The 11,639-nt window shown below is 49.4% G+C and overlaps 2 pseudogenes across 1 annotated transcript, besides 2 other annotated features; one reads left to right on the top strand and one right to left on the bottom strand.

The window, feature by feature from the left end:
* Positions 1–1,145: 1,145 nt before the first annotated feature.
* KRT17P5 (keratin 17 pseudogene 5) lies at positions 1,146–4,298 on the bottom strand (annotated as a pseudogene). Its single transcript, NR_001443.1, has one exon. The product of NR_001443.1 is annotated as a keratin 17 pseudogene 5 (transcript).
* Positions 6,835–7,334: an enhancer, noted in NCBI's record as "H3K4me1 hESC enhancer chr17:18322459-18322958 (GRCh37/hg19 assembly coordinates)". NCBI's record gives its function as "activates a minimal SCP1, AML or CMV promoter by ChIP-STARR-seq in primed H9 embryonic stem cells {active_cell/tissue: H9 hESC(primed)}" and the evidence as "EXISTENCE:reporter gene assay evidence [ECO:0000049][PMID:30033119]".
* Positions 7,335–7,836: an enhancer, noted in NCBI's record as "H3K4me1 hESC enhancer chr17:18321957-18322458 (GRCh37/hg19 assembly coordinates)". NCBI's record gives its function as "activates a minimal SCP1, AML or CMV promoter by ChIP-STARR-seq in primed H9 embryonic stem cells {active_cell/tissue: H9 hESC(primed)}" and the evidence as "EXISTENCE:reporter gene assay evidence [ECO:0000049][PMID:30033119]".
* Positions 8,173–8,284, top strand: YWHAEP2 (tyrosine 3-monooxygenase/tryptophan 5-monooxygenase activation protein epsilon pseudogene 2; annotated as a pseudogene).

Here is an 11,639-nt window from a genome sequence, read left to right as displayed (position 1 = left end):
ATGTCAGGTGACCACCCCCTGAAGTTGCTGTCTTTCACCCCACACTGCTCCACCCAAGGTGCTGGCCCGGGGCTGGGTGCTGAAGAGAAAGAAGGGACCGAGAGCCTATCCTGCCTTGGAAACTGAGCCCAAACCCACCAGGCCCACCTCACAGCATAGAAATGCCATCAAGCCTCGGAGACCAACCCACATCGCAGATAAAGAAATTGGGGCTCCAGAGGGGTGCAGTGTCCACACTGGCCCCTTCTGCAGAGTCTGACACCCAGGAATGCACTCTAGGGGCTACAGTTCCATCCAGTCAGCTTCTGACCCTGCCCCATCCCTAGAAGCCCTTGCTAACCCAGTCTCCTCGTGTAAACCTTTCCCCAGGTTTACACTCCAGGCTGGGGTGGGCAAACAGGGGCTCAGCTATAGGATGGGGGAAAGGTGGGCCGTGCTAAGAGAGGATCTAAACCAACTGAGAGGGGGATGCCCCCTTCCACTCCTCTCACCCTTCTGTACCCCAAGAGACCTCAGGGTCAGGGGAGGGGCATTTCTCTCAGGTCTCAGCCCACAGGAAACCTAAAGGACATTGCCCAAGAAGAGGCTCTTACAGAGACCCCAGCCAGCCAGCCCCCTCCCCACTCCAGGCTCCCCAAGATGTGGCTCCTCGGGCGGGCCAAGTGCCCCACTCCACAGCCCCACCCTGCCCTGCCCACCACCCCAAGCCCCGCCCTGGGTCCCAGGGTCCTGCCAGGCCCGCTGGGTGGAAGGTGGTCATGTTTCAGACTGCCAATGGCTTCCACTTCCCAGACAGGCCCAGGTAGCCCCACCAGCAGCGGAGAGAGATTCCTCAATAGCCCAGTGGCTGCCAAGCCACCAAAGCAAACAGGACACCCCCCATGCGTACACGCACAGCGGCCACCCTGCCCCACACACACCCCGAGCTGGGCAGAGCCGGTCTGCTTTCCTGGGCTAGCTGCCTCGCTCTCACCCCCTCACTCATCAGTGCCCTGGACCACTCCTTCAGAAGCCCCTCCCCACCGAGCCCCTCTCCTTCTGCTCTTGAACCCACCCTGGGCTGAGGCAGGGAGTGCTCCCCAACAGGTGTGGTCCTTGGAAAGTATGTGTGGCCCTCCCAGGGACCAGCCACAGGTGACAGGGACTCAGGGGCTGATTCTTAGAAACTTTTCCCAATACAAGGGGCTGTCCCTTCCCTCCACCCTTAATCCTTCCTCCTCCTCCCCTCTGGTCTTCTAGGAGCCCCAGGCCTGGATGGAGTGGGCAGAACAGATTGGCAGGTGACAAGCCAATACCCAAACACTCAATAAACTCTCCACCTATCCCAGTCCCTCAGCCCACACTGCCCCAAACCAATGAACAGACCAGATCACACGAGGCATTGAACTTGGAGCAAAGCTTTAATAGCAGGCACTGGACAAACCCAGGAGGCCTCCTCAGTGAGGGGCTGCAGAAAGTAGATACAGAAAGACAACAGGTCATGGACCAGTGCCCAGACGGACACTCGGGGCGTGGCAGTAGCATGCTGGGAGCTGCAGCTGATGGCTGTGCCATGACCCTCGAGGTGGGGCTGTCACAGGCAGAAAGGGGCCTCAGTGGGTGGAGAGATGGACCTGCTTACAGAAGACCACCTCTCCAACCTGGACTTCCTCCACGATGGCACACCTGGTGGCTGGTCACTGTGGCTGCAGGCGATGGAGGAGGGAGGCACAGGGAACATCAGGCAGGAGCTCTTCCCCCCACCTGCCCGAGTCTGTGGTCCCCCCAGTCTCCCACACAGAAGGGTCCTCAGCCTCTCCGCCGCCTTGGGGTCCACACAGCAGGACAGGGCAGCTTCTTACCTTCCCAGGTGGGCTGCGAGGCCAGGGACAAGGAGTACTGAGTGGCCAGCCTGCAGGGAGAGGAGCACCCATCGACCCAGGGATGCCAGCCAGCCCAGGCCCCTGCAAGCACTGCTGGGGAGAAGCAGGCCCTGGCAGAGGAGGTTCCCCTAAATTGGTGAAAAATCACAGTTGGGAATGCACAGAAATTAGCACAGGCCCAAGAATGAAAGGGCAGGGGTTCAGTGCAGCAGGAAGAAGAAAAAGAAACAGCACAGCAGTAGGCCTGGAGGCACTCACCAGGAATTTACAAGGAGAAGCTGAGCAAGTGGTTTTTCCATGTCCCAGAGGACCCAACAAATAGACCCAATTAAAGCAGGAGAGACTGTCGTTAGACTATAGATGGACTTCACCATTTTCGGGGAGCAAAAAGCTGCAACGTGTGACTAAGCATGGAGACTCCAGGACACACTCAGCTGAAGGCCTGATCACCCTTCCCAACTGCAAACCCGACCACCACCCACCATGCTCTTCACCCTGTGGCTGATGGACTCACACAGTCATCGGAACCAGAAACCCAGGGCCATCAATGCCCACTCCTTCATATGTGTTCACCCAACGCTTACTGAGTCCTGACCGTGAGCCACGCTTACCCTGAGATCCAGGCATCCAGTCCTGCTGTTTTGAGCTATAACCTCTCTTCTGCGTGCACCACCTTCCTTCCCCTGCCCCCCCACCCAGCCTCCACCCCGCAAGACTTCTCTGGCCAGACTCCCTGCTCTAGCCCCCTGACGCGTCTCTCTGGCCCCACCCTGACCCCTCTGATCCATTTCTCCCTCTGTAGCCAGAGTGAATGTTCTAAAATATCTTGATGTTCATTCCCTTCTTCTGCTCCAAATCCCTCCATGGCTCCCCATTGCCTACGTGATCTAGTCCAGACGCTTTAACTTGGCAGTCAAGGCTCCTCAGTCAGACTCCAGCCTGCATCGTCAGTTTCACCTCCTGCAAACCCCACAGGTTCCCACATTCACACCTCCTGAACTTTGCTGGTGCTCAGACACCAACTTCTCCCTGGGTGAAGTGGGCCCCCAGCCCGCCCCAGCAGGTACCTGGGTGCACACTCACTGGGCGTCCTCAACCTCTAGCAAGCGGCTGTAGGTGGCGATCTCCTGCTCCAGCCGCGTCTTCACGTCCAGAAGGACCTGGTGCTCGTGGTCCTGGTGCTCTGCATCACAGCAGAGCTCGCACAGCTGCTGTTCCATGCTTCTGATGAGCCCCTGCAGCTGGGCCAGCTGGGTCCTGTAACACACCTCCGTCTCCACCAGGCTGCCCTCCAGCGATGCTTTCTGTGGGCCAAGAGATAGGTGGTGCGATGAGATGGACGTGGGACCCTTCCCCATGGCAGAGCACTAGAGAGGAGCCCCTCCTGTATGGAGCTGTGGGTGCTGCCGGCACAGTTGGGTGGTAGTGCACCCAGCCACTGAGTGTGAAGGGACAGGCTGGGTGGGGACTCTGGTTCTCCAAGCAGGGGTCTATAAGGCTGCGCTCACCCTGGGGTGACAGGTACAGGGTGGGGAGGGGACAGGGGCCCTACCTTGCTGAGCTGGGACGGCTCAGGTTCTGCACAGAGATGTAGAGCTCCACATCTCCATCCTGCCGCTCTGCAGGGCCTCTGTGTTGGTGGCCACCTTGCAGTTCAGCCCCTCTCTCTGGAAGGCAGAGTGGGCCACAGGGGTTTATGGAGACTTTCACAAGTGGGGCACAGGAAAGGGGCTGTTCCTGAGCCCTCGCCTCCCAGAACCATCCCCTAAACCCTCCCTGGCCTCTATGGGGCCCCAAAAGCACCTGCACACAAAGACTCTCTGCACCCATGTTGGACCTTGGAGGAATTCAACCTGCTCTGCGGTCGTTTGCATTTCTTACTCCTACCGAACTACAGCACCTCAAAGACAGGCACTGGGTGTTATTCTTTTGCACCTGTTGCTGTCCCTAGGACACCGGACACACTCAGCCTGTGCTTGCCAAGGGTATGTGTATGTACTCAAATACACACATCCTGTAAACAGCTGTGGTGGAAACCCAAGACCAGACTTGCAGAGAACGGGATCTATTTTGCAGGCCACAGTGAAGGGCTGTGTGAGCTTGAGTCCTCTCTGAGCCTCACATTTTACATCGAAGACATGAAGGGCTGGTCCGACTGGTTTCCAAAAGTCCTTCCAACTGGGACAGCCTGTGAATCTGCCGGTGTTCCAACTGCACCAGCACACGGCGTATGTGCCCACACGTGTGCACACCTGCTTACACACGGCCACCCACCACGCTGAAGAACCAGCCCTGGGCATCCTTGCAGCTCTTCTCCACCAGTTTCTTGTCCTGGTCACGCATCTCATTCAGGATGCAGCTCAGGTTCACTCCAGGCACAGTGTCCATCTTCACACTGACATCCTTGTCCACCTGACCTCAAAGGGCGTTCATTTCCTGGGCAGAGAGGACAGTAGGAACTCACCCAAGGCCATCCTGGGGAAAGACCCTGGGGCCTGCCTTCTCTCCCTGGGAGAGACAGGTACGGATGACAGACAGACAGACAGACAGACACAGATAGGCCAACAGCTCCTCACCCTGAAGGTGGAGATGGATGTTGTCATTACTCAAACATACAGGGCTATGAATATCAGCAACCTCCCCCAACACACACTGTGACTCGGGACTGGACTTCACCCATCCCCAACAAGTGCTAAGCCCCAAGAGATGACAACCCCCCAGCACGGCAGAGAATGACCATGGGCGACCTCACTCACTGCCCTGGCCTCGCCCCTACCACCGCCTTGCCCCCACCACCAACCCCACAGCACAGGCATGCAAAAAGCAACCTTACGCTGCTGTCACCGCGCCAGGCCCTGTTAGCAAATGTTAATCTGCTAGAGGAAAGGAATTGTATAACCAGCCTCAACGCCAGGGGGAAACACCTTCCGGGTGTCCTGCTTCTCAGGGAGTAGGCTCCCCCAGCTTAGAGCAGCACAGAGCTCAGCTGAGAAGGAAGCCACAGGACAGGGCATGTAAGACCTCCTGACCGCCCCGGCAGGACCTTGGATCTCTATCCTTGGGTTGGAGTCCCTGGGACCTAGAACCTTCTGGAAAGGAGGGGCAGGAGAGGGGCAGAGAGGTGGGGTGGATACGAGTCCGACAGACCTGAAGGAGGGTCCCTGTGCAGCCATAGATATATCCCTTAACCTCTCTGAGCCTCAGTTTCTTCACAGGTCAAAAGAAAGAAACAGTACCTTTCTCCCAGTTTTTGTATCAGTTGAGATAATGGCTGTGAGTCACTTGTAGTGCTGGGCAGAAGTTCCTTGTTTTAATGACTATCACTATTATAATTAATTATAGTAATTAGTATTGTGTGTTCTTACACTGAGTTACTCATTAGTTAGTTAACTGCAGTGAGCTGAGCCTCAAGGGACAAATGAAGTCTATTTGAGAAGAGGGCTCCTCCAGGCCTCACCCAGGGTCCTCTGAGGGTCAGAGCTAGGCATCCATAAAGGATGGGAACTGGACTGGAAGCATGGCCCAGCCCAGGGAGGTTCTGGGCCCCAGCCTCGCTTGCTTCCAGGTGAATTTCTGCTGCATTCCCTGAGCTGAACTCACCTCCTCATGGTTCTTCTTCAGGTAGACCAGGTCCTCCTTGAGGTTCTCAGGCTGCATCTCCAGGTTGGCTCCAGGCAGGGTCAGCTTGTCCAGCCCCTGGGGCAGCTCCAGAGACCCAGCCTCACTTGGTGCAGAAGTCATCGGCAGCCAGGTGGGCATCATCCACCTGTAGCCAGTATGAAGCTGGAATTACCGATCACAGCCACCACGATCGGGGAGAGACGTGGGCTCCATGAGAAAATGCCCTTGGCGGCCTCCAGGAGACCCTCCAACATCCTTCTTGCAGCCTTTTTGGAAGTGAGCCAGGGTGGGGGTGATGAGAGTCCCCGTGGTCTTCTCTGACCCTCCTGGGAATTTCTGGGACCCAGCCAAGGCCCTCGGGGGTTAAAGGGTGATGGGGGTAGGATGCCCAGGCATGGGTAAAGACGGATGCCAGGAGAGAGACCCTTATGCAGCCGTCTCCCACTATGGGGGTCATGGCCTAAGCTGCCTAGGCCTCACTCCCTCTTCCCCAACGAAATTCACCTCTAGGCTCAGCTGCCACCTCCTCCAGAAAGCCCTCTTGGATTACCTTTCTGTGTCTCTTTTCCGGGCCATACCTCCTGCCTTCTCCAGCCCGGGTGCACACTCACTGGGCGTCCTCAACCTCCAGCAAGCGGTGGTAGGTGTCAATTAGTTCAACTTCTATGGAAAAAGTAGGGAGGTATCTCAAAGAACTAAAAGTACAACTACCTTTCGACCCAGCAATCCCACTACTGGGTATCTACCCAAAGGGAAAGAAATCATTACATAAAAAGGCACTGCACTCCCATGTTTATCGCAGCATAACTTACAACAGCAAGGTCATGGAACCAAGGTAAGTATCCACCAACGGTTCATTAAATAAAGAAAATGTGGTGCATATACACCACAAAGTACTAGGCAGTCATAAAAAAGAACAAAATCATGTCCTTTGCAGCAACACAGATGCAGCTGAAGGTCATTATCCTACGTGAATTAACGCAGAAACAGCCAAATATTGCATGTTCTCATGTATTAAGTGAGAACAATGGGTACACAGGGAGCCCAGGCTATTTATTTGTGCTCAAACAAAGAAACAGGTGGTGAGGCTGTGGGGGTTTAAAGGAATCAATGTATCAAGTGAGTGAGCTACAGCTGCGATGGTGTAGCATTTTCTTTGAAACATGTGGCTACTTGAGATAATGGGAGTGCTAGAAGCAAGGAGTCAGCAAGTCTAGCAGACATGCAAGCCCTGCCTCAGCTTCTCTCCCAACACTCAGCTTTTCTCCCAACAGGACAGAGTAAGCAGCAGTAAGTCTCGAGCCTTAGGACCAGAGGGGCCCCAGTGCCCCTTGGTCAGGATGCTGAGCCCAGAGAGGGCAAGATCCTGACTTGAGGTCACAGAGCAGCAAGCCCTGGCAGAACTAGCATTCCTTTTGGAGAAATTCAGAGTTCATGGTCCCCAGGAGTCATTCATTTACTCATGCATTCATTCGGCAATTACATATTGAGCATCTACTATATGCCAGGCCAACTTCTAGCCCCAGCATACAGCAGTGGATAAGACAAACCAATTCCCACCTCAAGGAGCTGATGCTCTGGTCACAGAGACAGAAAACAAGTGAAGAAGATCACATTACATGATGCTAAAGGCTAGCAAATAAAATTACACCACATGGAATGTTGGAGTCACTCTGTCCAAATGGTGGCCACTAGCCCCATATGGCTATTTGAGTTTCAAGCAATTGGAGTAATTGAAAATTAAAGAGTTTAGCGGCCGGGCAATGGTGGCTTACGCCTGTAATCCCAGCACTTTGGGAGGCCAAGGCGGGCGGATCACGAGGTCAGGAGATCGAGACCATCCTGGCTAACACGGTGAAACCCGTCTCTACTAAAAATACAAAAAATTAGCTGGGCGTGGTGGTGGGCGCCTGTGGTCCCGGCTCCTCGGGAGGCTGAGGCGGGAGAATGGCACGAACCCAGGAGGTGGAGATTGCAGTGAGCTGAGATCACACCACTGCACTCCAGCCTGGGTGACAGAGTGAGACTCCCTCTCAAAAAAAAAAAAAAAAAAAAGAAAAGGAAGTAAACTGGGTATGTGGCAATAGTTACTTTGGTCCACAGATTTTTGGTATCTTAACTAGTTTTGGATCTCTTCCACTAAAGGGATTGCCTGTTGAACGTTGTTAGGAATGTAAATACTGAAGGCAAACTGCCTGGGTTTGAATTTTGTTCTGTCCCTTGCACCCTGCCTGGGTTCAAATCCTAGCTCTGCTTATTAAGTTCTTTTAAGGTGATGATCTTTGAGCAAATGTCTTAGCTTCTGTTTTCCCAAGTAAATGGACACAATAGTTGCTACCTTGTGAAAGATTCATGTAATTGACCAGTGTTTACCAAGTAGCATCAGTGTTCAGTTTCAGTCATTGGTGATTCTGCAGTTGGACTGTGATGGGGTGTTGGGGTGGGGGTGGTGTGTGTGTGTAGCACTTAATTGCACGCGGAAAGGAAAAGATACTTTTGATGACCCAGAGGCAGCTTTTCTCTGCTTTTGTGTCAAAAGGGAGGAATGGAGTTTGGAGAGGGAAACTAATTCTGTTCAATACTAAGCTCTCTTCCTCAAAATCAGAGGTACATAGAATGTGTAATAACTTACAGAATTTCTAGACTTCAACAATCTGAATTTTTTAAAATTCATTTTTATTTTTTCAGGTTGAGACTGAGCTAAAGTTAATCTGTGGCGACATTCTGAATGTACTGGACAAACACCTTATTCCAGCAGCTAACACTGGCAAGTCCAAGGTTTTCTATTATGAAATGTAGGTTCTATACTAAAAATTAACAAGTGTACTTCAATAATTTTAAACACGCTCAGGAATAATTGGCTTTGTTTCTTTTTTTCTTAGCTATTTCCTATTATTTTCCTTATTAAATATAACGAAAAATCCCACAGAAATTAACTGAGGAGCCTCTAAATATCAAGAAAATTATCACTTGATAGACTAGAATTAAACAAGCAAGTGGTTCCAAGAAATGGCACAAGTGTATTAATCATAAAATAAAATTTCTACATGAAACTTTCAGCCAGCACTGTGAAATGTGTGGCCGTTTAGGGGAGGGGAATGAGATAGGTCCCATGAAAGCAAAAGAATATAAATAGGTAAAGCAAAAGCTAATGCATTTTTTATAATAGCCTGACCATCTTTTTATCCCAACATTGACTATCCTTCTAACATTAAACAATTATTTTTAAATAAAAGTTGGAAACCTACATAGAAGAAAGTCATGATTCTAAAAAGGCCAACTTTTAATCTTACATTTTCCTTTCTAGTATAGAACCTACATTTCCTAATAGAAAACCTTGGACTTGCCAGTGTCAGCTACTGGAATGAGGTGTTTGTCCAGTGCATCCAGCACGTCGCCACAGATTAACTGTAGCTCAGTCTCAACCTGAAAAAATAAAAATACATTTAAAAAAATCAGATTGTTGAAGTCTAGAAATTCTGTAAATTATTACACATTCTATCTACCTCTGATTTTGAAGAAGAGAGCTTAGTATTAAAGAGAATTGGTTTCCCTCTCCAAACTCCCTTCTTCCCTTTTGACACAAAAGCAGAGAAAAGCTGCCTCTCGGTTATAAAAAGTATCTTTTCCTTTCCGCATGCAATTAAGTGCTACACACACACACCACCCCCACCCCAGCACCCCCTCACAGTCCAACTGCGGAATCACCAATGACTGAAACTGAACACTGATGCTGCTTGGTAAACACTGGTCAATTACATGAATCTTTCACAAGGTAGCAACTATTGTGTCCATTTACTTGGGAAAGCAGAAGCTAAGACATTTGCTCAAAGGTCATCACCATAAAAGAACTTAATAAGCAGAGCTAGTATTTTAACCCAGGCAGGGTGCAAGGGACAGAACAAAATTCAAACCCAGGCAGTTTGCCTTCAGTATTTACATTCCTAACAACGTGCAACAGGCAATCCCTTTAGTGGAAGAGATCCAAAACTAGTTAAGATACCAAAAATCTATGGACCAAAGTAACTATTGCCACTCATCTCTATTCATTTATAATGCTGAAAAGGTACAACACCTCTAAAGGCAGATACCCAGCTTGCTTCCTTTTTTTTTTTTCTTTTCTTTTTTTTTTTTTTTTTGAGACTGAGTCTCACTTTGTCCCTCAGTCTGGAGTGCAGTGGTGCGATCTCGGCTCACTGCAACCTCCGCCTCCCGGATTCAAGCTATTCTGGTGCCTCAGCCTGCGGAGTAGCTGGGATTACAGGCATGCACCGCCATGCCTGGCTCATTTTGTATTTTCAGTAGAGACAGAGTTTCTCCACATTGGTCAAGCTGGTCTTAAACTCCCGACCTCTGGTGATCTGCTCGCCTCGGGCTCCCAAAGTGCTAAGACTATAGGCGTGAGCCACCGCGCCCAGCCGAACATGTTTCTTATGTTTTGCAATATAGACAGGCTGAGGATTTTTCAGATATTCAAGCTGTGATTTCCTTTTTTTTTTGACAGACTCTTGCTCCATCACCCAGACTGCTGTGTAGTGGAGCGATCTTAGCTCACTGCAGCCTCCACCTCCCAGGTTCAACTGATTCTCATGCCTCAGCCTCCCGAGAAGATGGGACTACAGGTGCATGCCATCACACCTGGCTATTTTTTGTATGTTTACAAAAATAGTAGAGGCAGGGTTTCACTAAGGTGGTCTCCAACTCCTGACCTCAAGTGATCTGCCCTCCTCGGCCTTCCAAAGTGCTGGCATTAGAGGAGTGAACCACTGCATGTGGCCTGTGATTCCTTTTTAAGTATTATTTTATCTCTTTTCTCTTGCACTTTACTATAAGTGGTAAAGAGAAACCACACCATTCATTCATCACTTTGCTTAGAAATCTCCTCAGCAAAATATACAATTTCATCACTTGCAAGTTCTACCTTTCACAAAATATTAGAACATGATACATCCAAGTTCTTTGCCACTTTAAAACAAGGATCACTTTTCCTCCTGTTTCTAATAAGCTGCATCTCATTTCCATATGAGATCTCACCAGAATGGCCTTCAGCTTTCAGAATTTTACCAACATTCTATTCATGATGATATAGGCATTTTCAAAGCCAATGGAGAAATGCTTTTAAAAAATAGTTCACCTCTTTTCTTTCTGTAGCAGCACCGTAACTTAATTGGAAGGGGATACAATCCAGTCTGTCCGTAACAGTTGGTCACTATGGTTCCAAGCTTGAGTATAACTACAAAACATCTTTTTAAATCTCAAGACATTTAATAAAAAGAAATAATGTAGTTAGAGCAGATTACTAGATGAAATGCATGACAGATAAGGAATTGATGTAAGCACTATATTTCACTCAGGTCATTTTAAAACCACCATAATAACTATCAAATCATTGCACTGGGCCGGGCACAGTGGCTCATGCCTGTAATGCTGGCACTTTGGGAGGCTGAGGCGGGTGGATCATCTGAGGTCAGGATTTCGAGACGAGCCTGGATAGCCTGGTGAAAATCCGTCTCTACTAAACAAAAAATTAGCTGGGTATGGTGGCACAAGTCTATAATCTCAGCTACTCAGGAGGCTCAGGCAGGAGAATTGTTTGAACCCAGGAAGTGGAGATTGCAATGAGCCAAGATCGTGACACTACACTCCAGCCTGGGCAGCAAGAACGAAACTCTGTCTCAAAAAAAAAAAAAAAAAAAAAAATCATTGCATTGAATTGAATGCTCCAAAATTTTCTTCATTCTCAACAATAAATGGAGATAGGTGATTATAAGAACACAATTCAATATTGCTTGAAAACATTCCAGTAATTTCACTGGAAAAATGTTTATAACATAGAATATGAGCTTAATGATAAGAAACTTGTTTGCTCTGTTCAATACTGAATACTCAATTCCAATCACTGGGCCTGGTATGTGAAAAGAGCTTCTTGGTTTAAAAAATTTACTTAAATTGTCAATGAGTGAGGGAAAAATAAGACACATTTTATGTTATACTACCTACAATAGCAATAGAAATTGTTGAACAGATTTTACTTTTTAAATGCCGATTTTACTTGTAATCTATACATAAAAGGAAAATGGGATTAGGTTTTTATTAACTAGAAGAAGCTGTTACGAGAACGTCGACAGAAGTCTTCTATTTTCAAGTGCAATGTTA

Source organism: Homo sapiens, chromosome 17 (assembly GCF_000001405.40).
Source record: "Homo sapiens chromosome 17, GRCh38.p14 Primary Assembly".
Taxonomy (NCBI): domain Eukaryota; kingdom Metazoa; phylum Chordata; class Mammalia; order Primates; family Hominidae; genus Homo; species Homo sapiens.
Note: the sequence above shows the minus strand (reverse complement) of the source record. Positions and strands in the feature narration are given on the sequence as shown.